This window comes from Homo sapiens, chromosome 2 (genome assembly GCF_000001405.40).
Source record: "Homo sapiens chromosome 2, GRCh38.p14 Primary Assembly".
Lineage (NCBI taxonomy): Eukaryota > Metazoa > Chordata > Mammalia > Primates > Hominidae > Homo > Homo sapiens.
The window spans coordinates 223,184,199-223,212,148 of NC_000002.12; the positions used below are offsets into that span (position 1 = coordinate 223,184,199).

General features: G+C 41.0%; 1 long non-coding RNA gene across 1 annotated transcript, besides 2 other annotated features; it reads right to left on the reverse strand.

The window, feature by feature from the left end:
* Positions 5,752–6,728: an enhancer, noted in NCBI's record as "NANOG-H3K27ac hESC enhancer chr2:224054668-224055644 (GRCh37/hg19 assembly coordinates)". NCBI's record gives its function as "activates a minimal SCP1, AML or CMV promoter by ChIP-STARR-seq in naive H9 embryonic stem cells {active_cell/tissue: H9 hESC(naive)}" and the evidence as "EXISTENCE:reporter gene assay evidence [ECO:0000049][PMID:30033119]".
* Positions 10,887–11,432: an enhancer, noted in NCBI's record as "NANOG hESC enhancer chr2:224059803-224060348 (GRCh37/hg19 assembly coordinates)". NCBI's record gives its function as "activates a minimal SCP1, AML or CMV promoter by ChIP-STARR-seq in primed H9 embryonic stem cells {active_cell/tissue: H9 hESC(primed)}" and the evidence as "EXISTENCE:reporter gene assay evidence [ECO:0000049][PMID:30033119]".
* Positions 18,858–27,935, reverse strand: LOC105373906 (uncharacterized). Its single transcript, XR_923951.1, has 3 exons — positions 27,895–27,935; positions 24,040–24,068; positions 18,858–18,984 (listed from the first exon to the last, which is right to left on the reverse strand). It is a non-coding gene; the product is annotated as an uncharacterized LOC105373906 (long non-coding RNA).
* Between the last annotated feature and the right edge of the window lie 15 nt (positions 27,936–27,950).

The window sequence follows — 27,950 nt, forward strand, 5'->3', positions numbered from 1 at the left end:
AAAGTGGGGTTGGTATATATATACCATGGAATATATGCAGCCATAAAAAGGAACAAGATCATGTCCTTTGCAGGGACATGGATGGAGCTGGAAGCTGTTATCCTGAGCAAACTAACACAGGAATAGAAAACCAAATACCGCATTTTCTCACTTACAAGTGGGAACTGTACGATGAGAACACATGGACACATGGTGGGGAGCAACATACACTGGGGTCTGTCGGGGGTCAGGGGAGGGAGAGCATCAGGAAGAATAGCTAATGGATGCTGGGCTTAATACCTAGGTGATGAGTTGATCTGTGCAGCAAACCACCATGGCACATGTTTACCTACGTAATGAACTTGCACATCAAGCATGTATCCCGGAATTTAAAATAAAATAAAAGTTGAAGAAAACATAAGTGGGGTTGGTTTGTTTCCTTTACCATAGATAATTTGCTACTGGGTAATCACAGATGTATTTCCCATTACTGACTATCTCAGGTCTTTGATAGCTCATGGAAAACATTATCAATATATATCTTTAAAAAACTATCCTTAATTCTTAGCTATGGACTCTGAAACATTATAGAAGACATGTGGGTTTTCTATTTTCTTTCATGATTAATTAAATAGATATTTGTTGAGTACCTAAAGGGTGCTGGGGATAGAGCAGTAATCAAGACAAAGGGCTGCCCTGTGCAGTTTACATCCTCATGGGAAAGCATAGATGAATATGTCAACAAAGAAATAATGTTTACATGTACTGTTTTATTTTTTAATTATGTCTTCACATGCTACTTATATTGTCCAAATATGAATCTTTATAGTCATAACATAATCATATGAATACATGCCAATCTCTTGGCCCAAGGAATTGGGCCTTATTGATATTAAGAGATGAGTTTAATATTTAATAGATAGAGGAGGTCTTTGGGAACACATTTTTAAAGCAGCAGTGGATTTGGCATGTATTAATATATTTAAACGAAATCAGAAAAGTTATTCTACTTGTACTGAGATAATATAAAATCCATAGTAAAAGGCTAATCCACATTTAATTTATGACAAATGGAGGCATGGCAGAATCATGGGGAAAAGATGGTCTTTTCAATAAACAGTGTTGAGTGAATTAGATATGCTTATGTAAAAAAGGAAATTTGAACCCTACACCACATAGAAAATCAATTACAGATGCATTTAAATTTAATTATAAAAGTAAAACAATAAAGCTTCTAAAGGATAATATAGGAAAACATATTCCTAATTTTGAGGCATGGAAAGATTTTTTAAATAGGATACAAAACCACTAATATCACGGGAAAATCAAATAAATTACATTAAAAGATGATTTTTTTGTTCTTCAAAGAACGCTGCTGAGAAGGTTAGAGAAAATAAGCAATAAGGTGGAAGATGATAGTTGCTATATATAAACCAACAATGGGCTTTATACAGGATGAATAAAGAATTTCTACAAATTCAAAAAAAGAAAGACAAGCCAACAAAAATGGAGGGGGAACAGATGTCAACAGCCACTTCACAAAGGAGGGTTTAAAAATAATCAATAGGCATTTGAAAAGGTGCTCACCCTCATTAACAATAGGAAATATAAATGACAACCATGATGAGATATTTCAATGAGTCACCTCTAAAGAATAATCAGACTAGGTAAAATAACAAAGAATGACCTGGCCGGGCGTGGTGGCTCATGCCTATAATCCCAGCTCTTTGGGAGTCCGAGGTGGGTGGAACACTTCAGGTCAGGAGTTTGAGACCAGCCTGGCCAACATGGTGAAACTCCATTTCTACTAAAAATACAAAAATTAGCCGGGCATGGCTGTGGGCACCTGTAATCCCAGCTACTCAAGAGGTTGAGGCAGGAGAATTGCTTGAACCCAGAAGGCGGAGTTTGCAGTGAGCTGAGATTCCGCCACTGCACTCCAACCTGGGCAACATAGTGAGACTCCATCTCAAAAAAAAAAAAAAAAAGAAAAAAAAAAGAATTAGCAAGCTGTAATATGTTAATACAATGCAGTAGCATACAGCAGTGAAAATTAATCTATAGGAACACACAACCACTAGATAAATCTGCAAAACATAGTATTAAGCAAAAGAAGTCATACAAATAAGAAAACATCTTATGTGACTTTACTTGAACTTCAAAAATTAGGCATGAGAAATCTAAGGAGCTAAAAGTCAGGTGCATAGTTATGTGTGGGGAGGAGGAAGTCAGTGTTCTATATCTTGATCTAGGTGATGATTGCACAGGTATATTCACCATGTAATAATTCATTGATCTATATACTTATAATTTGTGCTTTCTATTCTGAATATATGATAGTTTACTTTTAAAATTTTTAAATGATTTTCAATTTCCCAGGGGAAGATTTGTTTTGAAGACACCTTGAGAATGGTCAATATGTAATTACCTTAGTTCCCTAACTTTTATCTTATACTCCACCTTGGGGCTGAGAGGGAAACGTGAAAAATTTGAATTCTTAACACTATCTGTAGTTCTTAGATTTCATAATCGTCCCAGATTTTTTACTTTCAGATAATCCCTTGCTTGTATTTTCCAACAATACATGATAAATTATAGACAAATACAATCTCATTTTCTCCATTTAAACTAATGTCTTTATTGCCAATCATTTCTGAACCAGCCAACTGTGGTAGAACTGATGAAATAGTATCCCACTTATAATAAATATGTGTTTTTCATTAAAGAGACCCAGACAATCTTGTTTTATTTCCTGCAAACTGATGTGATTTGTTTCTTCATGAAGTTAGAAACTGCTACAGAGCTAATTTATAATAAAAATTAGGAAAAAGTATTTAGCCAAACTTTCAAAAGGCATTTTCCTACCAGGGCATATGTTGAACAAACTGAATCTGTAGCTACTTTTTTGGATTATCTTAATCCAGCATCAAAGGGGTCAGTGGGGCAGGTCTAACAGGTCCATGATGGCTTAGGTCTTTGATTAGAGACTTAAGTCAGCAAGCTTGGAAGGAAAAGATGCCTGAATTTAATTTTGTCTTTCCATGGCAATGGCTGGCTTTGACTTCTCTTCAGTGGTACTTCTGGTTGTTCTGTTAGAGTTTTTGATTTCCCAAACCAAAGTGATGGTGGGGAGACCATGAAAGTACCTAAGCCCAGACTGCAATATCAATAAACATCCTCAAAGCATTTGTAGGCAGGTGGTAAATGGTTCACCTTTGAGTTATAAACTACTAGAAGAATGCTTGTGTGTATAGGAAGAGGACTTCAGGAGCTTGTCTAGGCATGTCATCTTTCTAGGTTTTGCTGGGACTGCATGAAGCCAGATTTCAAGTTCTTTTAGCAGTCCCACTGACAAGATTGGGTTATCTCAAAAAAGGCAGGCAGATTCCCATGATGCTGGAGCCCTTCACAGAGAGATTTTGTTGGGACGACAGCCACTTTTCTCACCAAATTCCAGCCCGGCTTCCGAGTGTTACCAGCGGCAAATCTGTGGGAGTCTGCAGCAAACTTGAGCCTTGCCTCCTCAGAGGAGAGAATTTGACCGATGGGCAGAAGTAAGTTTAAGGCAGAGGGAAAAATCAAGGCAAGTTTTTAGAGCAGGAGTGAAAGTTTATTAAAAAGTTTTAGAACAGGAACAAAAGGAAGTCAAGTACACCTGGAAGAGGGACAAGCAGGTGACTTGAAAGATCCAAGTGCCCTGTTTGGCCCTGGGCTTGGGGTTTTATGCAGTGGCATGGTTCTGGGGTTTGTTTCTCCTCCCTTGATTTTCCCCTTGGGGTGGACTGTGCACATCCACAGTGGCCTGCCAGCACTTGGGAGGGGCTGCATGTTCAGTGTGTTTATTGCAGTTGTGTGCATGTTCACTTGAGGCATTTTTCCCTTACCAGGTGAGTGTTCCCAGAGGAAGGTCATCTACTGGTTAAACTCTGCCATTTCACCTCTTCATGCACATCCTTGAGCCTGCTTGCCCTGGTCTTGAGATCTTATTGGGAAGCTGCTGCTCACCAGGTTCAGGTGTTTTCTATCTATTGAGAGACTTTTTTTTTTTTTTTCTGGCACTGGCTATGACAAATTATTATTTTACAGAGAGAGTCTAACAACCAACAGCCTGATCATCCAGGATGGTTACCTGACATTCCTAAGGGAGGAGGGCCTCTCTTGCCCTGCTCAAGTCTGCCTAATTATCTACTCTGGCTCAATGTGCCACTGCCCTCTTGCTTAGCATGAGGCTTTCCTTTTCTCCAACTCATATTTGAAGGTCCTTCTTATTCAAAATTTGATCCAAACATCAGCAGTGTCTAACTGGGGATTTGTTGGAAATGCTTTCAGTTAATCTACAGATTTTGAAATTCTGTTAATTGCTTCAAAAGATGGAGGAAATCCCTACATCAGAGAGTTTTGACACTGTTAGTCACTCACTGGTTAAATAAAAATGTTATATTTAAACCCCTATTTTGGGAGTTGAAACATAGAACATTATTTGAAAAGTTATACATGGGCTTCAGATATATTTTGCACCTAGTTTCATTTTTCTGGAATTTGCAGAAGGGATTATTATGTGATTCTAGGGGCAGAAAAATAAATTTCATGAATTTCACTCAAGTCCGTGTGAAGAGATCACCAAACAGGCTTTGTGTGAGCAATAAAGCTGTTTATTTCACCTGGGTGCAGGTGGGCTGAGTCCGAAAAGAGAGTCAGCGAAGGGAGATAGGGGTGGGGCTGTTTTATAGAATTTGGGTAGGTAAAGGAAAAAGTGGGGTTGTTCTCTGAAGGGCAGGAGTGGGGGTCACAAGGTGCTCAGTAGGGGAGCTTTTGAGCCAGGATGAGCCAGGAGAAGGAATTTCACAAGATAATATCATCAGTTAAGGCAGGAACCCACGATCTGGATGTGTACGTGCAGGTCACGCGGGATATGATGGCTTAGCTTGGGCTCAGAGGCCTGACATTCCTGTCTTCTTATATTAATAAGAAAAATAAAATGAAATAGTGGTAAAGTGTTGGACAGAGAAAATTTTGGGGGGATGGTATGGACAGATAATGGGCTATGTTTCTCAGGGCTGCTTCGAGCGGGATTGGGGGGGCGTGGGAACCTAGAGTGGGAGAGATTAAGCTGAAGGAAGATTCTGTGGTAAGGGGTGATATTGTGGGGTTGTTAGAAGAAACATTTGTCATTTAGAATTATTGTTGATGGCCTGGATACAGTTTTGTATGAATTGAAAGACTAAACGGAATAAGAGAAGAAGAAAAACAGGTATTAAAGGACTGAGAATTGGGAGGACCTAGGACATCTGATTAGAGAGTGCCTAAGGAGGTTCAGCATAGCCTTGCCAGCAAAGATTATTTATTTACTTTAAGAGTTAAGAGTGGTGGTTTGGGGATAGCACCAGGAGATATCAGCTGTGATGGCTTGGAGAAACAGTGTAAACCGGCAGTGTAAACAAGAGCAGGGCATGTATGAGTAGTTAAGAACAGTGAATAGGAGTATGACTAGACAGAAGATAGTAGACATGACAAGTTTTTTGGGGCACAGTCCAAGTTGGTCTGGTGTCTGGAATGAGACTGGGGCCTAATAAGAAGGAACGTCCATACAAGAGCGCAAATGGGCTGTACCTTGTAGCATTCTGAGGACAGGCCTGAATTCTGAGAAGGGAAAGTGGTAAAAGTATTGTCCAGTCCTTTTTAAGTTGGTGTCTGAGTTTGGTGAGGTGTGTTTTTTGAAGACCATTAGTCTGTTCTACTTTTCCTGAAGACTGAGGACTGTAAGGGATATAAAGGTTTCACTGAATACTAAGAGCCTGAAAAAATGCTTGGCTGATTTGACTAATAAAGGCCAGTCTGCTATCAGACTGTATAGAGGTGGGAAGGCCAAACCGAGGAATTACGTCTGACAGAAGGGAAGAAATGACCGTGGTGGCCTTCTTAGACCCTGTGGGAAAGGCCTCTACCTATCCAGTGAAAGTGTCTACCTAGACCAAGAGGTATTTTAGTTTCCTGACTTGGGGCATGTTGAGTAAAGCTAATTTGCCAGTCCTGGGCAGGGGAAAATCCCTGAGCTTGATGTGTAGGGAAGGGAGGGGGCCTGAACAATCGCTGAGGAGTAGTAGAATAGCAGATGGAACACTGAGAAGTTATTTCCTTGAGGATAGATTTCCATGATGGAAAGGAAATGAGAGGTTCTAAGAGGCAGGCTAGTGGCTTGTACTATAGCATAGCCTGCCTTTGCTGGTGTGTGGTGATTAGACCTGGTGGAACTGCTATCAATAAACCAAGTGTGATCAGGGTGAGGAACAGGGAATAAGGAAATGTGGGGAAATGGGGTGAACATCAGGTTGGGGTGGATCAGTGTGGGGAAAAGAAAGAGAGATCAGATTGTTAATGTGTCTGTATAGAAAGTAGACATAAGAGACTCCATTTTAATCTGTAACCCTACCCCCAACCCTGTGCTCCCTGAGACGTGTGCTGTGTCAACTCAGGGTTAAATGGATTAAGGGCGGTGCAAAATGTGCTTTGTTAAACAAATGCTTGAAGGCAGCATGCTCTATAAGAGTCATCACCACTCCCTAATCTCAAGTACCCAGGGACACAAAACACTGCAGAAGGCTGCAGGGACCCCTGCCTACGAAAGCCAGGTATTGTCCAAGGTTTCTCCCCATGTGACAGCCTGAGATATGGCCTCGTGGGAAGGGAAAGACCTGACCGTCCCCCAGCCCGACACCCATAAAGGGTCTGTGCTGAGGAGGATTAGTAAAAGAGGAAGGAATGCCTGGTTGCAGTTGAGACAAGAGGAAGGCATCTGTCTCCTGCTCGTCCCTGGGCAATGGAATGTCTCGGTGTAAAACCTGATTGTATATTCCATCTACTGAGATAGGGGAAAACCACCTTAGGGCTGGAGGTGGGACATGCCGGCAGCAATACTGCTCTTTAAGGCATTGAGGTGTTTATGTGTATACATATATAAAGCACAGCACTTAATTCTTTACCTTGTTTATGATGCAGAGACCTTTGTTCACGTGTTTACCTGCTGACCTTCTCTCCACTATTATCCTATGATCCTGCCACATCCCCCTCTCCGAGAAACACCCAATAATGATCAATAAATAATAAGGGAACTCAGAGGCTGGCGGGATCCTCCGTATGCTGAACACCGGTCCCCTGGGCCCCTTTTTCTTTCTCTATACTTTGTCTCTGTGTCTCTTTCTTTTCCAAGTCTCTTGTTCCACCTAATGAGAAACACCCACAGGTGTGGAGGGGCAACCCACCCCTTCAGATCAGAGAGATGCAGTCATGAGGGTCAGGTGTGGTATCAGGAATAATGTGGGATGCCGGATTGAAGTCCCGGCCAGGAATAATGGTAATTGTGGGAGACTCAACAAAGAGTGAGTACAGCTGAAGGAGCCAGGGAGCAGAAAGTACATGCATCAGGTGTGAGGAAGAAAATAGATTTTGGAAATTATGAGAGCTGTAGAGAGTGAGTTGAGCATAGTTTGTGATTTTAAGGGCCTCTAAAAGTATTAGGGCGGCAGAAGCCGCTGCACGGAGACATGATGACCAGCCTAAAACAGTAAGGTCAAGTTGCTTGGACAAAAAGGCTACAGGACGCGATCCTGGTCCTTGTGTAAGAATTCCAACTGCACAGCCCTGCACTTCAGCTGTGTGTAATGAAAAGGGTTGGGATGAGTCAGGGAGAGCTAGGGTTGGGGCAGTCTCTAAAGCTGTCTTCAAGGAATGGAAAGAGGAGTGGGGAAAGGATTTAGGATCTATAGGGTCAGCTAGGTTTCCTTTTGTGAGTTTATATAATGGTTTTGTTAGGATGGCAAAACTAGGTATCTAAAGGCAAAAGTATCTAACCATGCCTAGGAAGGAAAGGAGTTGTTGTTTTGTAGAAGGAGTTGGGGTTTGAGAGATTAGTCAGACACGATCGGCAGGGAGAGCACGTGTGTTTTCATGAGAATTATGCTGAGATAGGTAACAGATAAGGAAGAAATTTGGGCTTGACTGAAGTAATGGGGGCTGTCTGTGAAGCTTTGCAGTAGTACAGCCCAGGTAATTTGCTGAGCCTGATGGGTGTCAGGGTCAGTCCAAGTGAAAGCAAAGAGAGGCTGGGATGAAGGGTGCAAAGGAATAGTAAAGAAAGTATGTTTGAGATCCAGAACAGAATAATGGATTGTGGAGGGAGTTATTGAGGATAGGAGAGTATATGGGTTTGGCACCATGGGGTGGATAGGCAAAACAATTTTGTTGATAAGACATAGATCCTGAACTAACTTGTAAGGCTTGTCTGGTTTTAGGACAGGTAAAATGGGGGAATTGTAAGGAGAGTTTATAGGCTTTAAAAGGCCATGCTGTAGCAGGCGAGTGATAACAGGCTTTAATCCTTTCAAAGCATGGTGTGGGATGGGATATTGGCATTGAGTGGGGTAAGGGTGATTAGGTTTTAATGAGATGGTAAGGGGTGCATGATCGGTCACCAAGGAGGGAGTAGAGGTATCTTATACTTGTGGGTTAAGGTGGGGGGATACAAGAGGAGGAAGCAAAGAAGGCTTTGGATTGGGAAGAAGGGCAGCAATGAGATGTAGCTGTAGTCCAGGAATAGTCAGGGAAGCAGATAATTTATTTAAAGTGTCTCGGCCTAATAAGGGAACTGGGCAGGTGGGGATAACTAAAAAGGAGTGCTTAAAAGAGTGTTGTCTAAGTTGGCATCAGAGTTGGGGAGTTTTAAGAGGTTTAGAAGCCTGGCTGTCAATACCCACAACTGTTATGGAGGCAAGGGAAACAGCCCCTTGAAAAGAAGGTAATGTGGAGTGGGTAGCCTCCGTATTGATTAAGAAGGGGACGGACTTACCCTCCACTGTGAGAGTTACCTAAAGCTCAGCATCTGTGATGGTCTACAGGGCTTCCGAGGCAATCGGGCAGCATCAGTCTTCAGCCACTAAGCTGAGAAGATCTGGGAAGGAGTCGGTCGGAGAGCCTTGGGCCAGAGTTCCAGGGGCTCTGGGAGTGGCTGCCAGGTAAGTTGAACAGTCCAATTTCCAGTGGGGTCCCACACAGATGGGACATGGCTTAGGAGGAATCCTGGGCTGCAGGCATTCCTTGGCCTGGTGGCCAGATTTCTGGCACTTGTAGCAAGCTCCTGGGGGAGGCGGTTCTGGAGGAATGCCTGGCTACTGCGGTTTAGGCATTTGGAAGTTCTTGTGTGCTGGAGATGTGGCTGGGGTTTGTCTCACAGTGGAGGCAAGGAATTGCAACTCAGAAATATGTTGCTACTTGGCTGCCTCTACTTTATTATTGTACACCTTGAAGGTGAGGTTAATTAAGTCCTGTTGTGGGGTTTGAGGGCTGGAATTTAATTTTTGGAATTTTATTTAATGTCGGGAGCAAATTAGGTAATAAAATGTATATTGAGAATAAGATGACCTTTTGACCTTTTAGGGTCTAGGGCTGTAAAGCGTCTCAGGGTTGCTGCCAAACGAGCCATGAACTGGGCTGGATTTTTATATTTGATGAAAAAGAGCCTAGACACCATCTGATTTGGGATAGAGAAAAAGGAGCATTAACCTTGACTATGCCTTTAGCTCCAGCCACCTTTTTAAGAGTAAATTGCTGGGCAGGTGGGGGAGGGCTAGTCACGGAACTTAACTGTAAGGCGGACCTGGTGTGAGGAGGGGAGGTGATAAAAGGATTATAGGGTGGAGGAGCGGAGGCTGAGGAAGAATTGGGACCTAGCTTGGCCTGGTGAGGAGGGGAGAGGTCAGATGGGTCTGTAGAAAAGCAAGATTAGAGAGACTCAGCAATGCTTGGGGTTGGGACTGAGCGGACAGGTGGGAGGGAAAGAAGGAAGGTTTGGGACGAGTTGCATTGGGAACAGAGACTAGGGAGGCACCATGTGTAAAAGAATGCCTGGACATCAGGCACCTCAGACCGTTTGCCTATTTTGCAACAAGAATTATATAGATCTTGTAGGATGGAAAAATTGAAAGTGCCATTTTCCAGCTATTTGGAACTACTGTCGAGTTTGTATTGGGGTCAAGTGGCATTGCAGAAGAAAATAAGATGCTTAGATTTTAGGTCAGGTGAGAGTTGAAGAGGTTTTAAGTTCTTAAGAACACAGGCTAAGGGAGAAGAAGGAGGAATGGAAGGTGTAAGCTTGCCCATAGTGAAGGAGGCAAGCCCAGAGGAAAGAGAGTAGAGACACGGAGAAGGGGTGGGGGTTCTTGCCTTCCAGAAAAGCAGAGAAGGGGTCGGGGCACAGAAATAAGGGGTTGGGGTGCAGAGATAAGAGGTTGGGGTTCAGAAATAAGGGATCAGGGCGCAGAGATAAGAGGTCGGGGTTCCTGTCCCTCCCTCAGAAAAGCAGGACTTGCCGCTAAGGGTGAAGGAGAAGGGGTTGAGGGGTTCTTGCCCCTCCCCTAGAAAAGTGGAGAAGGGGTAGAGACACAGAGAGAAGGGGTTGGGGTTCTTGCCCCTCCCCCAGAAAAGCGGGACTTGCTGCTAAGGGTGAAGGACCAAGGCAGGCATCCCTGCGTGGTCTGACACCTCTGAAACCTGGGTGAATAATCAGAAAGGCGTCCCTGCAATGATTAAACACCAAGGGAAGGCTGCCTTCCCTAGTCCGTGACCGGCACCGGAGTTTTGGGTCTCCTTTGTCTGTACCAGAAAATGAAAGGAATTGAAATTAAGAGAAGGGAGAGATTGAAGTGTGGCGCCAAGATTGAAAGGAGAAAGAGGTTGAGGGATAGTGAGGGAGGTTGGGGAAGAGAGTAAAAAGAGGCCACTTACCAGATTTGAAATTGGTGAGATGTTTCTTGGGCTGGTTGGTCTGAGGACCTGTGGTCGTAGGTGGATCTTTCTCACGGAGCAAAGAGCAGGAGGACAGGGGATTGATCTCCCAAGGGAGGTCCCCCGATCCGAGTCATGGCACCAAATTTCACTCGCATCCGTGTGAAGAGACCACCAAACAGGCTTTGTGTGAGCAATAAAGCTGTTTATTTCACCTGGGTGTAGGCGGGCTGAGTCCAAAAAGAGAGTCAGCGAAAGGAGATAGGGGTGGGGCCGTTTTATAGGATTTGGGTAGGTAAAGGAAAAAGGGGGGTTGTTCTCTGGTGGGCAGGAGTGGAGGTCACAAGGTGCTCAGTAAGGGAGCTTTTGAGCCAGGACGAGCCAGGAGAAGGAATTTCACAAGATAATTAGTTATCAGTTAAGGCAGGAACAGGCCATTTTCACTTCTTTTGTGGTGGAATGTCATCAGTTAAGGCAGGAACCAGCCATCTGGATGTGTTCATGCAGGTCACAGGGGATATGATGGCTTAGCTTAGGCTCAGAGGCCTGACAATTTGTTTAGGTTCTACCATAGAGAGTTTGTTTTAAGTTAGCAGGGCTATAAAATTAGCTTTATGTTGCCAGTGGAGAAAGGATTTGCAAGGGAAAATAGTCACAATAGCAATAACATGCAGTGCTTATTATTGTCATAAGTATATTGTCATAATTATTATATTATACTAAATATGATAATTATATGCCAGGCACATAGTAACTACCCTATGAGATAAGTACTATAATTATCACTGATTTACAGGTGAGGACACCAAGGGTCAGTGTGGTTTAATAACTTGCCCAGTCACCCAACCAGGAGGTGGCACAGCCAGGATTCAAACTCAGAGAATCTCGGTCCAGTGTCTGTCCCTTTAGAATCATTGTATTAAGATGTATCTCAGCTGTATTTTTAGCATGGAAATGTAAACTTTTAAAGTTTCTATCAGAGGGGTCCAAAGAGTTGTGGCCATTTTAAAGAAAAGCTAAAAATCTTGATATTCGCCTGGAATTTATGGATCTTTAAATGTTGGCAATTAATTTGAATTGTTTTTAAAAACTCACTTTGGGGGCTAAATTATCTAAGGCTGCCAGTTTGAGATGAATGTCCTATATAATTTCCATTTCATTAAAATCTTGATATGCTAGTCTCAAATAATTATTTTTCCATTTCTTAAAATCTTAATCTGGTGCTTCACCAGGCAACATTTTGTTAACTTATTCTGGTAAAACAATAAATGGTTTATACCTAAACATAATAACATTGCATTTCTTCAAGTTATATTTTATATTTGACCATCTTAGTAGTCCAGGTTGGCCTCAGCTTTCCCCAGGGTCAGAATTCAGGGTGTCTGACTACTTTCAGAGGCCCTGAGGGCATGAAGGTTGCTGGGAACCTTCATGAAAGGTCATGAACAGTACATGAACGGGTTGGCCAGTGAAAGCTCCCTTTGGGTCCCCAGCGTCTTCTTCTGACATCGTTTTTCCTGGGGCAGGACATTTCACACAGTCCCCCGCTGCTCCCTGGAATCTGGGACTCCTGCTTTCTTGAAGGAATGCCTTGTTGTGTAAGTGAACCCACAGGGAGGCAGCGGCAGGAAGCATTCTTCACAGGAGGCTCCTTTGAGGACCCAAAGCTGGCCTCTAGGAGGGGTCAGGACTGAACTTGAGTTTGTCTGTGTTGAGACCTTAGGAGACTCCATGATTTCTGTGTCTTCTAGATCCTGAACTGTCAACCACCATGAGTCTGTTGATCCTTTATCTGACACTTCCCCAGTTCCCTGTTCTGTTACTGGAAAGCTGTTCTCTTACTAGAAAGGGATCCAGAACCAGACCCCAGGAGAGGGTTCTTGGATCTTGTGCAAGAAAGGATTCAGGTCAATCTGTAAAGTGAAAGCAAGTTTATTAAGAAAGTAGAGGAATAAAGAATGGCTTCTCCATAGACAGAGCAGCCCTGAAGGCTGTTGGTTGCCCATTTTTATGGTTATTTCTTGATTATATGCTAAACAAGGGATATGTTTTTTATGCCTCCCCTTTTTAGACCATACTGGGTGAGTTCCTGATGTTGCTATGGCATTTGTAAACTGTCATGAAGCTGGTGGGAGTGTAGCAGTGAGGACAACCAGAGGTCCTTCTTATTGCCACATTGGTTTTGGTGGGTTTTGGCTGGCTTCTTTACTGCAAGCTATTTTAACAGCAGGTCTTTATGACCTGTATCTTGTGCCGACCTCCTATCTCATCCTGTGACTTAGAATGCCTAACTGTCTGGGAATGCAGCCCAGTAGATTTCAGTCTTATTTTACCCAGCCCCTATTCAAGATGCAGTTGCTCTGGTTCAAGTGCCTTTGACAGTTCTTTACCCAGGCCTCTTCCAGTTTCCTCTCTCACTCAATGGAATTGTTCTTTACCAATTCCACAAACAAGCCTGAAACCTAGAATCTGCCCCTGACATTTCTTGCGCTTGCCTCCTACAGTCAACTTTCTTCAAGTCCTAGGGATTTTACCCTCTAGCTCTGGAATCTTTATTTCTCTCATGCTCATTGCCACAGTCATATGCCAGGTGACCATTATATCTTGTCAAAGGGTTTTTCACACATTCTGGCCCTGCTCTCGTCTGTTCTCCCCAAAATGTAAAGGGATCATTAAACATGCAAATGTGGTTATATGACCAACTTCACCTCACTATCCTACAGGGGTCACAGCCAGGCACTCCACAATCTCATTGCCCACCACTCACCCCATCGTGGACTGCCCTGATTAGCTAAGCATGGCTATTCCTACGTTTATGGTAACGGGAGTGTTTTCTGTCACCAGGTAGGAGGTGGGCTGATAGCACAAGCATTGGAGACCAGAATCAAGAGCTACCATACAGTTGGGAAAACTGGCTAGCCATATGCAGAAAACTGAAACTGGACCTCTTCCTTACATCTTATACAAAAATTAACTCAAGATGGATTAAAGACTTAAACATAAGACCTAAAACCATAAAAACCCTAGAAGAAAACCTAGGCAACACCATTAAGGAAGTAGGCATGGGCAAAGACTTCATGACTAAAACACCAAAAGCAATGGCAACAAAAACCAAAATTGACAAATGAGATCTAATTAAACTAAAGAGCTTCTGCACAGCAAAAGAAACATCATCAGAGTGAGCAGGCAACCTACAGAATGGGAGAAAATGTTTGCAATCTATCCATGTGACAAAGGGCTAATATCCAGAATCTACAAAGAACTTAAACAAATTTGCAAGAAAAAAAAAAAACCCATAAAAAGCGGGCAAAGCATATGAACAGACACTTCTCAAAAGAAGACATTTATGTGACCAACAAACATATGAAAAAAAGCTCATCATCACTGGTCATTAGAGAAATGCAAATAAAAACCACAATGAGATACCATCTCATGCCAGTTAGAATGGTGATCATTAAAAAGTCAGGAAACAACGGATGCTGGAGAGGATGTGGAGAAATAGGAATGCTTTTACACTGTTGGTGGGAGTGTAAATTAGCTCAACCATTGTGGAAGGCAGTGTGGTGATTCCTCAAGGATCTAGAACCAGAAATACTATTTGACCCAGCAATCCCATTACTGGGTATATACCCAAAGGATTATAAAACATTCTACTATAAAGACACATGCACCCGTATGTTTATTGCAGCACTGTTCACAATAGCAAAGGCTTGGAACCAACCCAAATGCCCATCAATGGTAGACTGGATTAAGAAAATGTGGCACATATACACCATGGAATACTATGCAGCCATAAAAAAGGATGAGTTCATGTCCTTTGCAGGGAGATGGATGAAGCTGGAAACTATCATTCTCAGCAAACTAACACAAGGACAGAAAACCAAACACTGCATGTTCTCACTCATAAGTGGGAGTTGAACAATGAGAACAGTTGGACACAGGGAGGGGAACATCAGACACCTGGGCCTGTCAGGGAGTGGGAGGGGGCTAGGGGAGGGATAGCATTAGGAGAAATACCTAATGTAGATGATGAGTTGATGGGTGCAGCAAACCACCATGGCACATGTATACCTATGTAACAAACCTGCACATCTGTACATGTATCCCAGAACTTAAAGTATAATAAAAAATTAAAAAATAAAGATGTCATGGGTGGTGAACAAAAAAACAAACCAAAAAAAGAGCTACTATACAATCTCACAGGTAAGACTGGCCTTGTAGTAAGAAAGTTGGTCTCATGTTGACTTAGTGGAGAATGCTACCTAGAATTTTTCTCATCATAGTCTGATTTCTCATATAGTTCTGTCTGCTGCAAGATAATATATTATTTGAGCTGATTTGTCTAACAGTTGTATTTCAGTGTAAATTAATTAATTAATTGCCATTCTGGTTTACACATTACCCCTGTGATCTTGGTAAGAAGTGTCTGTCCTTATGGACAGTTTCCCTTCTCAAGATGCTAACAATTCAGAGTTCTTAGCCTGCAAATCCTATCTGAATATCCATGAATTCACCTGTGGGGGCACCTTACCAGAAGGCCAAAGAGCAGTACCTCAGTGACATCCTCACCTCACCTTATAACTTCTATTTGACCTTTGATATGTAGTAGATGTGAGTAAGGATTAAACAGAAATTAGAAATGTGTCCCAAACAGTCAGAGTCCATATATCATCCAGAGTGGGCCTCAGAATTCCAAAAATTTTCCTCTGAATGTCTTCCTCTTGCTTTTTCCACTCTTTGTCCTTTTGTAGGTATAACTCCCCAGGGGGCTGTAAACTGTGTCTGTCTCATATATTGCTGTATCCTGAGTGCTGAGCCTGGTGATTACACATCAATAGTAGCTCAGTAGATATTGGTAGAATAAATGAAGGAAGGAAGGAAGGAAGGAAGGAAGGAAGGAAGGAAGGAAGGAAGGAAACCCTGACATTTTCCATTCTGCCTTTTCTTCTACTCCCCCTCTACCTAGGCAGAAGTAATTTAAAAATCCCAGTTTTCCTAGATTATAGATGCAAATTTCTCCCACATATTTGTGATATGTCTTACTGTTGATGGGTGTTGAAATGCTAAACAATCCAGTTATTTCCATTGTGCTACTGGGACTTGTTTTGCAGGAGCATAGCAATGGCTGCTTTGATTATTCCACACCCTTAAGAGAACCCTCTGTTTTCCTCCAAAAATTTAGTCAGGTGGTTGAATTACTTGGCTTCCTTGAAGACTTCTCTGTTGTCAGGTTTTCCTTCTGAAAGGAAAAGCTTCATTAAAATTAGATGAAGAGCACACAGCTTCCAGTTGTTAAACTGTCAACCCTGGCAAAAACAGTGGTGAAGGCAAACCAAAGCTTTCAAGAGAGCGTGTTCTTGAAGAGAGCATGTTCTTGCCGGCTGAACTAATGAAGTGCAGACCCCCTGCTGAAGTCTCAAGTAGATTGCCAGTTCACACAAATGAGCTGAAAAATACCATTCAGTTTTAATTGTGACATTTCTTTCGCGAGGCAGTTCCTTTCACTGGGTTTTTGCTTTTTTCTTGTTTTTGTTTTTGATTTTTTACAAAAATTCTTGACGAATAAAAAATGAAACCAGCAGGAATGTTCTTTAAAGAGCCCAAGAAATGGTTTTGAGAATGCACTGACACTTGAAACATGGGAGAAATCATTATTTTAAAATGCCCAATCCGCTTCCCTCAGTTTTGAACAAAATCAACGACAAAGCAAAACCAGTTTTCAAGTGTTATAGTAATTCGCAAAATAAATTGCAAAGAATGGCAGAGTACCATCAGGGTTCTTCAAGGGCTCTACAAACAATCAATTTGAATTTAAGTTTCTACATAGATTTTAAACTTTTTAAAGATGGTAATCTTTAAATAGTTAAATGTCACATATTTAAAATATAAACTCATCAGAGGACTTCAATCAATGTATTTGCTTGGACTGATGGGTTCATATTTTTCCAAGTAGGAGTAAGTTATAATGCTTCTCCTGACCATTCAATATCCTGAGACTCCAAGGCAAGTGGTGAAATGACCCTAACACTTATAAGTACTTGTCTGTCTTGAATGAGGATTTTCTTTATGCCATATTGCTAAAGGAAAACATATAAATTAATTGTAAGCTAAAACTGCAAGAAGTCTTTCACTGCCATTTATGAGCCTGGATTTATATTTTTGTATGAAAGAAAAAGGAATTGTGTTTTCATTAATTGGCTTTCTAAGCAAAATGCCATAAATTTGAACCAATAAAATGAATTTATTCTAATAAGATGTCTCCTTGTTTTAAATCTCTGATAAGATGTTGTTTTAAAAAAGAATTCTATAGTTAAAAGTTATTTTAAAGACCACTTAATTATATTATCTCTATGTTATGTCTAAAACCATGAAATGACTTAGTGATTTTGTAGTGAAGCTAGTATTTGGCAATTGTTATAGGCTACCCTTTGGCTAGAATATTTTTAGTCCATATTTCAGTTATATATTGCTATGTACCCCAAAACTCAGTGGCTTAAAACAAGTGCCATTTATGTATGATTCTGTGGGTTGACTGGGTGTCCCTTCTGCTGGTCTTACCTGGGCTCACTCATGTAGCTGTATCTGGCTGGTAGAACTGCAACCTGGGCCCAGCTGCACTCTTCTTTCTGCAGTGGCTTTTCATCCCAGGATTTTTATGGCATTGCAGTTTCAAGGTGTTCAAGAGAACAAGCCCCAGTGTACAAGCCCTTCTGAAGCTTCTATTTGTGTTACATTTGCTGATGTTCCGTTGGCCAAAGCAATTCACATGGCCAAGTCCAATGTCGACTTGGAAGGGGAATACATAAAGGCACGAATATGAAAAGGCATGTGATTCACTGGGTGCCATTACTGTAATAATTTACCATAGTTTCCAATCAATAGAATTATGAAAGACTCTCCTAAACTTTACAGCACTGGAAAACAGGGCCCACAGACTATAATACAAGAGGGAGTGTATTATAATAATGGCCTTAATGAATAACATTCTCTATATTCACACTTATTTGCAATATAATACTGCCATTCTTCCTGTTTTGGTTGGGCTGCTATAACAAAATATCATAATATCATTATAAACAATGGAAATGTTTTTCTCACAGTTCTGGAGACTGGAAAGTTCAAGACCAAGGTGCCAGCAGATTCAGTGTTTGACAAAATCCTACTTCCTGGTTCATAGATGGTACCTTTGGGCTATGTCCTCACATTTTGGAAGGCGTGAATTCACTCTCTGGAGTCTCTTTTATAAGGCACTAATCTCAAAGAGGGCATGATCTTCAAGAATTAATAACCCTCTCAAGTCTCTACAATCTAATGCAATTACCTTGGGAATTAATATTTCAACATATCTATTTGATGGGACACAAACACTGAGAACAGAGCACTTTCCATTGAGTGGTAGATACTATTTCTCCACCTTGAATCCTAGTTAACATTCTAACTTGCTTTAACCAGTAGAATGTGGCTGACATGATGTTTTGGAAGCTCTGGAGCCTAAGCCTCAAGATGCCTTGAAGCCTCTGCCTTCACTTTCTTGGAACTTAGATGCCATATAAAGGTGGGCTAATCTACTGAATGATGAGGAACCATGTGAAGAGAGAGGTCCCAGACTTCCAACCATTCCCATCAGGGCCTTAGACACATGCACGATGTCAACACAGACTCTCCAGCTCCAGCTGACCCACCAGATGAATACAACCACAAGAGCAAGCCCGTGTGAGACCACCCAGCCATCCCAGAGATTTGTGAGAAATGATGTTGAGGTGTTTGTTACTTAGCGATAGATAACTGGTATGGGGGTAAATATTAACTCTTATTCATTCCTTGTATGAACCATATGAAGCAAGCATTAATTTTCCTCTTTTACAAAAAAAAAAAAGAAAAGAAAAGAAAAGAAAAAGAAACTGAGACCCAGAAAGTTTGAATCTCTTGCTGAAGGTCAGACAGCTAAATAACTGAGAGGATACACATTTGCTGACTTGCAAACTCATAGTCTTTCTATAACACATTGAATTTGGAAGATTTAAAACCTGTCTTTTTCAATCTGAATAAAGATGAGCGATTTCAGTCTAAGTTTCACTTTTTATCCCTTTGAGCAACATTACCCTGAAAGCGGATCCTTGGTGTTTTCTCCTTTGGTGGAATGCTTTCTCTTTCTTTGACTGATTGTTTGCCCTAAATTTTAGAAAATCCCACATGCTTCAGAAATGGAAGAGTGAGGTGAAATCATCCCTAGGAAATAAGACAGCAGTCAGAATTGTATGGTTAAGTTAATCTTAACAATGAAAGAATTACTAAAACTTTTCTTCAGAAAATCAGCAAGAAACATTTCAGTAACCATGATATTCTGTTCTAGAATATTTCTACCTCATTTTTCTTCTGTGTTTTGATTTTGATGGGATAGCCTAAGTTTCTAAGTTATTTTTTGAGATTTTGGATTTAATACAGAAGCAGAAATTTGTCACAGTAAGGGAGGAGGCCACCCCTCATATCGTCTTATGCCCAATTTCTGCCTCCAAAGAAAGAAGTAAAAACTAAAAGGCAGAAATGAAATCCACAGGCAGACAGCCTGGCGCCGCACCCTGGGCCTGGTAGTTAAAGATCGACCCCTGACCTAATCGGTTATGTTATCTATAGATTACAGACATTGTATAGAAATGCACTGTGAAAACCCCTGTCCTGTTTTGTTCTGATCTAATTACCTGTGCATGCAGCCCCCAGTCACGTACCCCCGCTTGCTGAATCAATCACGACCCTCTCACACGCACCCCCTTAGAGTTGTGAACCCTTAAAAGGGACAGGAATTGCTCACTCAGGGAGCTCGGCTCTTGAGACAGGAGTCTTGCTGATGCCCCCGGCCGAATAAACCCCTTCCTTCTTTAACTCGGTGTCTGAGGAGTTTTGTCTGCGGCTCGTCCTGACACAACAGAAGTAGGTATAGTCCAATGACAGAAATGGGACTGCTTCTATTTGTAAAATATTCATTGTTTTCCAATGGTGACAGCCATTACAGCAATGCAAAGCATATTTTGGAGACTCCAAAAAAATGTGGAAGGCATAAATAAGGATGAGCATATTTGGTGACAGGGCCATCAAGACACTGGTGAGTCAAACTTGAGTGATCCAGGCTCTTACACTCAGTGACTCAAATTCACCAAACCCATTTTGCTCCTGAAGGCCATGCTCAGAGAATCAAATTCACATGCAGAGAAAGAGAAAATACTTCCTTTGTTATTGAATTTTTTTCTACAGGCACATCGGGAGCACATTTTTTTCTAACCACATAAGACACAGCTGAGATAAACACTTCTGAGTATTGCTGAGAGAGAAAGTGAATTTAAGAAAGTTATGTAATTTTGAACAAGAGGAATTAATTTCTGTTTTTGGAGAAACTTGAATCAGAAAGTGGCTCTAGATACTAACAAGAGTAAAAGAAGAGAGAGCTCTGTTCACTACCCCCAACTCCCCTCCCTAAGAAACATATTTACATAAACAAAGCAGGGTGGGGATGGGGTAATCTATGAGTCAATAGGATCATGTCCATCAGCTTCCAGCAAATGAAAGTCCACGAAAATGCTTTTTCCTTTCTCTTTTTAAATGTACTTAGTTAATTGACCATTTTAGAATGCGATACAACTCAAAAGGTGTTTAATGTGCTAGGAATAAAGGGTCTTTAAACATAAAGAGTCAGGATGACTACTAGAGGCACCTAGCACTAGCCTCCTCCACAAAGAAGGACTGAAACAGCCAGTAGGTAAACACGCATTGAATAGGGGCTTAGGGTGTCTAAGAGAGAACACTGAAACTTAGCAGGAAAGTGACAGGGAACCTCCCAGGCACAGAAGGAAAGGGAAACAATGCAGCTGACCTGGCTGGGGTTGGCTTGGAGCTGGGAGAAATGCTCCATTGTGGGGTAAAGGTAAGTGAGAGATCCCTAGTGGTCCACATTCCCACCACAGACTCCTGCAGTCCTAGCTATGAGAGAGTCCCTTAGACCTCATGGGCCCTAAGACTAGTATAGGGCACTGCCTGGGGTCCATGAGACAACATTGTTACAGACAGGACATTCTCTCCACATCCCACATCACCTCCCAAGACCTAAGCAGCTGCAGTGCATTGGCATTTGGGAGCCCAACACTTCTCAGACTACATGCTGCCCTGGGCCCCAGCAACCCCTGCATCTCCACATCCATGAAGCCCCTCTGACATCCCCCCATGTCCATCCAAAGAACTATAGCATTCCAATGCTGGCTGGACCTAGCAGCGCAGCCAGGTCTCAGCATTCCAGCCCTCTCAGAGTGCTAACCCTTGGTAAACAGGCGATGCAGTGCAACAGGGAGGCTGCCCCTGGGACAAAGGGAACCAAAGCATGGGCTCAACAGAGCTTGAGAGCTCTGCCTCTTCTGGGCTGCTGCCACTAACTGCAACCCTGCCTCCTGTGTGCTTGCATGTGCCTTCATGGAACCTAGGGACTGAACTTCCCAGACACTGTCCTGGGGCTTGAGGACAAATCTCACATCCTCTCCTGACAGCGCCACCCAGAGACCTTGAGAACAGGCTTGTACCACCTTTCTCCACCAGCACCCAAGTATGCGATCTGGGGGTCTGGGGATCAAGCCACCCTGCCCAATACTGCTGGTGCCCATATGTGCCATTCGGGGGACTAAGGACAGGCCGATCCCATGCACCATTACCACTGCCAGTGCCCAAGTGTGCCATTTGGGGGTCTGGGGATTGTCCTACTCTCTCTGCCACCACAGGTGCCCATGCACAGAATCTGTAAACCTGAGGGCAGTCTTGCCTAGCCCACTGCCACTGCTGCTGGCACTCCAGTGCATCATCTGGGGAACTGAAGATTAATCCTCTCCACCCACTGCTGCTGGCACCCACGCACATCTTCAGGGGGCCTGACAAGAGGGCCTCCTTGCCAACCACTGCTGGTGCCTGCACAGGCCATCCAGCAGCTTGAGGACAGACCCGCTTCACCCACTGCCATTTCTGCTGGTAATTCCATGCACTGTCTGTGTGCCTGGAAACTGCTCTGCCCTGCTCATCACTGCTAGTGGCTGTGCACACTATTGAGGGGCCTAAGGACAGGTCTGCACTGCCTGCTGCTGGTGCTGGCACCTACATACCTCATCCCAGGGTCTGGGGATTAATATGCCCAACTGGTGTCTATGCAAGCCTCCTGGGGCCTGAGGATGGACCCACTCTGCCTGCCCCCACCCCATGTGCATGTTATCTGGGGGCCTGGGGATAGGGCTACCCTGTCCACTGCTGGGGCCCCATGAGTTCTTGGAGGACTACAAACTGGCCTGCCCTGCTTGCAGCTACTACTGCCACTGGCAATCACCCATGTGCACCACCTGGAACTGGCCATCACTGGCAACTGAGCAAGCTGCCTGGAAACCTAAGGACTGACCCGCCCAGCCTTATTACCACAGGTGCCCACATCTATTGCTTAGGTGCCTGAGAACTAGCATGGCCAACCCACTGCCACCACCACTGGTACCTGAGGACTGGAACACCTGGCATCCCTGTCCCCAGCAAAGCCTTGCCACAGCCTCCACTAAAAAACACAGCCTAAGCCACTAGGGAACTCAGAGACACTACTGATACTGATTACAGCCAAAGAAATCATATAGAGAAGACACTACTAAACCCATCCAGAATAAAAGTCAAATGTTAATTACAGGTACATCTATGGGAAAAACTTCTTCCCTACAAAAGCCAATCCACAAAATGGGAAAAAGTAGCTGTTACACCAGGTGTGCAGATGTCAATGTAAAGACACAAGAAACACAAAAAAAGCAAAGAAATATGACATCTTCAAAGAAACACTGTAATTCTCCGGTAATAGAACCTGATGAAAAGGAAATCTATGAAATGCCTGAAAAAAATTCAAAATAGTTATATTTAAAGGAACTCAGTGAGATGCAAGAAGACACAGATCAATAATACAAAGAATCAGAAAAACAATGTATGATACGAATGAGGAATTCAACAAAGAGATAGACATAAAAAAGAACCAAACAAATTCTAGAAGTGAAGAATTCAATGAATAAAATAAAAATACAAGAGGTTCAACAACAGACCATATTAAGCAGAAGAAAGAATTTCTGAATTTGAAGACAGGTCTTTCAAAATAACCCAGTCAGACAAAAGAGAAATTAAAAGAAAAAATAATAATTTTATAACTTTAATATGGGCCATCATAAAACAACCTAATATGAATTTGGGGAGTTCCAGAAGAAAAAATGATGGGCAAAGTCATAGAAAACCTATTTAATAAAATAATGGCTGAAAATTTCCCAAGCCTTACAAGAGTTAGAGACAACCAGATACAGGAAGCTCAAATATACCCAAATATATCAACCAAAAATGTCTTCTCTGAGGCACATTATAGTCAAACTGTAAAAAGTCAAAGACAAAGAGAGAATTTAAAAAAAAAGCAGGACAAGTGCATCAAGTCACATATAAGAGAATCTCTATCAGACTAACAGCAGATGTTCTCAGCAGCAACCTTACAGGCCATGAGAGAATGAGATGATATATTCAAAGTACTGAAAAAAAATCCTTTTGCAAGCAAGAATACCAAACCCAACAAATGCATCCTCCAAAACTGAAGGAGAAATAAAGTCATTCCCAGACAAGCAAAAACAGGGAATTCATCACTAGTAGTCTGGCCCTACACAAAATGTTTAAGGGATTCCTACACCTGGAAGCAAAAGGAAGATATCTACTATCATGAAAACACATAAAAGTGTAAAACTCATGTACATAAATATACAAATGAGAAAAGGAAAGGAGTCAAATATTACTGCTGCAGAAAACCAGCAAATCACAATGACAAACAATAAGAGAGGAAGAAAAGAGCAAATGATATATGAAAGAATTAGAGAATAATTAACAAAATAGCAGGAATAAGTCCTCACCTATCAATAATAACTTTGCATGTAAATAGATTAAATTTTATGCTTAAAAAATATAGACAGGCTAAATAGACTTTTAAAAAACCTGATTCAACTATATGTTGCCTACAAGGCACTCACTACACATGTAAAGACACGTGTAGATTGAAAGCAAAGAAAGGAAAAAAAATTAAGTTGGTGCAAAAGCAATTGCGATTTTGGCCATTACTTTTAATGCTATTAATGGCAAAAACCACAATTACTTTTGCAGCATAATGACATTAAAAGTAATGTCAAAAACCACAATTACTTTTGCAGCAACCAACTACATTCATGCCAATGAAAACAAAAGGTGAGCAGGAATAGCTATACTTACATCAGATGAAACAGGATGCAAGTCAAAATCTGTAAAGAGAAAGGAGATCACTATATAAAGTAATTAATTCAGCAAGAGGTTATAACAATTCTAAATATATACTTATCCAATACCAGAGCACCCAGATACATAAAGCAAATATTATTAGATCTAAAGGGAAAGATAGACTACAATGCAATAGTAGTTGAGGACTTCAACACTCACTCTTAGCATTGGACAGGTAATCTAGGCAGAAAATAAACACAGAAATGTTGAATTTAAACTGTGCCATAAATCACGTAGACCTCACAGACATTTACAGAACAATTTATCCAACAGCTGCAAAATACACATTCTTCCTATCAGCACATGGAGTGTTGTCCAGGACAGACAATCTGTTAGGCCACAAAACAAGTCTCAACAAATTTGAAAAAATCAAAATTATGTCTGAGGGCTCTGTTCTGTTCCATTGGTCTATATCTCTGTTTTTGTACCAGTACCACGCTGTTTTGGTTAGCCTTGTAGTGTAGTTTGAAGTCAGGTAGCATGATGCCTCCAGCTTTGTTCTTTTGGCTTAGGATTGTCTTGGCAATGCCGGCTCTTTTGGTTCCATATGAACTTTAAAGTAGTTTTTTCCAATTCTGTGAAGAAAGTCATTGGTAGCTTGATGGGGATTGCATTGAATCTATAAATTACCTTGGGCAGTATGGCCATTTTCACGATATTGATTCTTCCTATCCATGAGCAGGGAATGTTCTTCCGTTTGTTTGTATCCTCTTTTATTTCGTTGAGCAGTGGTTTGTAGTTCTCCTTGAAGAGGTCCTTCACATCCCTTGTAAGTTGGATTCCTAGGTATTTTATTCTCTTTGAAGCAATTGTGAATGGGAGTTCACTCATGATTTGGCCCTCTGTTTGTCTGTTATTGTTGTATAAGAATGCTTGTGAGACACAGGAAGGGGAACATCACACACAGGGGCCTGTCGTGGGGTTGGGGGAGGGGGGAGGAAAAGCATCAGGAGATATACCTAATGTAAATGACGAGTTAATGGGCACAGCACACCAACATGGCACATGTATGCATATGTAACAAGCCTACACTTTGTGCACATGTACCCTAGAACTTAAGGTAAAAAAAAAAAAAATCAAAATTATGTCAAGCATTTTCTCAGGTGACAATGGAATAAACCTAGAAATCGGTAGTAAGAGAAATGTTGGAAACAATACAAATACATGGAAACTAAACAACATGCTCTTGAATAACATTGGGTCAATGAAGAAATTAAGAAGTAAATACCAGCCTGGCCAATATGATGAAAGCCTGTCTTTACTAAAAATACAAAAATTAGTTGGGCATGGTGGTGGGCACCTGTAGTCCCAGCTACTTGTGAGACTGAGGCAGGAGAATCGCTTGAACCCAGGAGGAAGAGGTTGCAGTGAGCTGAGATCACATCACTGCACTCCAGCCTGGGTGACAGAGTGAGACTCCATCTCAAAAAAAAAAAAAAGAAAGAAAAAGAAAAAAAAAAGAAGTAAATAAAAAAATTTCTTGAAAAAAATAAAAAATGAAAACATCACATACCAAAACCTACGGGATACAGCAAAAGCAATGCTAAGAGGGAAGTTTATAGCAATAAGCACCCACATCAAAAAGCAGAAAGACTTCAAATAAGCAACCTAACAATATACCTCAAAGAATTAGGAAGGGTATTACAAACCAAACCCAAAATTACTAGAAGGAAAAACATAATAAAGATCAAAACAAGACTACCCAAATTAGAGAATAAAGAAACAAAACAAAAGATCAATGAGACAAAGAGTTGCTTTTAGAACACATAAACAAAATTGAGAAAGCACTGGTTATACTAAGAAAAAAGGACAGAAGACCCATATAAATAAAATGAAAAAGGAAAAAGGAAACCTTACAATTAATACTACAGATACAGATACTAATACTGCGGATACTGATACTAATACAAAGGAACATAGAGATTACTATGAACAAGTATCTGTTAATAAATTGGAAAATCTAGAGGGAATGTATAAATTCCTGGACACATTCAACTTACCAAGATTGAACCAGGAAGAAAGAAAATCTGAACATACCAATAACAAGTAGTGAGACTGAATCAGTAATAAAAAGTCTCTCAATAAGGAAAGTACAGGACCAATGGTTTTATTGCTGAATTCTACCAAACATATAAAGAAGAACTAGCCCTAATTCTTCTCAAACTATTCCAAATAATTGAAGTGGAGAGATTTTTTTTTTCTAACTTATACTATGAGATTAGCATTACTTTGATCCCAAAACCAGACAAGGATAGAACAAAAAAGAAAGCTGGCCAATATCCGTGATGAACGCAGACATCAAAATTCTTAACAAAATACTAGCAAGCCTAATCCAACAATATATTAAAACAGGAATGTAGGATAATTCAGTGGGATTTATCCCAGGAATGCAAGGATGGTTCAACATATGCAAATCAATAAGTGTGATACATCACATCAACATAATGGAGGACAAAAACCATATGATCATCTCCATAGATGCAAAAAAAGCATTTGATAAAATTCAACATCCCTTTATAAAAACTCTCAACAAATTAGGCACAGGAAGAATGTACCTCAACATAGTAAAGGTCATGTGAATGGGGAAAAGCTGGAAGACTTACTCTAAAAATTAGAACAAGACAAGGATATCCACTTTTACCACTCCTTTTCAACATAGTACTGGAAGTCCTAGACAGAATAATCAATCAAGAGAAAGAAATAATTAGAAAAGAGGAAGTCAAATTGTCATTCTTTGCAGATAACATGATCTTATATATAGAAAAGCCTAAAGGCTCCACCAAAAAGCTCTTAGAATTGATAAATTCAGTAAAGTTGTGGGACCCGAAATCAACCCACAAAAATCAGTTGCATTTCTACACATCAATAACAAACTAGCTGAAAAACAAATCAAGAAAGCAATCTCATTTATAATAGCTAAAGAAAAATTAAATACTTTGTTAAATAAATAAATTTAAGCAAGGAGGTAAAAGACTTCTACAAGAAAAACTACAAAAAAACTATTTAAAGAAACTGAAGAGGACACAAACAATTGGAGATACATCCCATGCTCATAGATCAGAAGAATTAGTGTTATTAAATTTTAACATCTACAGATTCAATACAATTTCCATTAAAATACTAAGGACATTTTTCAGAGAAATAGAAATAACAATCCTGAAATTTGTATAGAACCACAAAAGACCCTGAATAGCCAAAGCAATAGTGAGCAAGAAAACAAAGCCAGAAGCATAAAAATACCTGACTTCAAAATATACTACAAAACTAATAATATCACCCCAGTAAGAATGGTTATTATCAAAAAGACAAAGAAAAACAAATGCTGGAGATAATGTGGAGGAAAGGGAATTTTTATGCACTCTTGGTGGAAATGTAAATTAGTATGTTCATTTTGAAAAATAGTATGAAATTTTCTCAAAAAACTAAAAATAGAACTACTACATGATCCAGCAATCCCAGTACTGGGTATTTATCCAAAGAAAAGGAATCAGTATATCAAAGAGATACCTGCACCCCCATGTTCATTGCAGCATTATTCACAATAGTCAAGACATGGATTCAACCTAAATCCCCATCAACAAATGAATGCATAAAGAAAATGTGGTGGTATACACAATGGAATACTATTCAGCCATAGAAAATAATGAAATCCTGTCATTTGTAGCAACATAGATGGAACTAAAGGACATTATGTTAAGTAAAATAAGCCATGCACAGAAAGAAAAACACTGCACATTCTAACACTGTGGGAGCTAAAAAAGTTGATCTTATGGTTCTTATGGATGTTTTGGAGATTAGAATGATAGTTACCTGAGACCAGGAAAGGTGGAGAATGAGGTGAAAAGAAGTCGATTAACGGACACAAA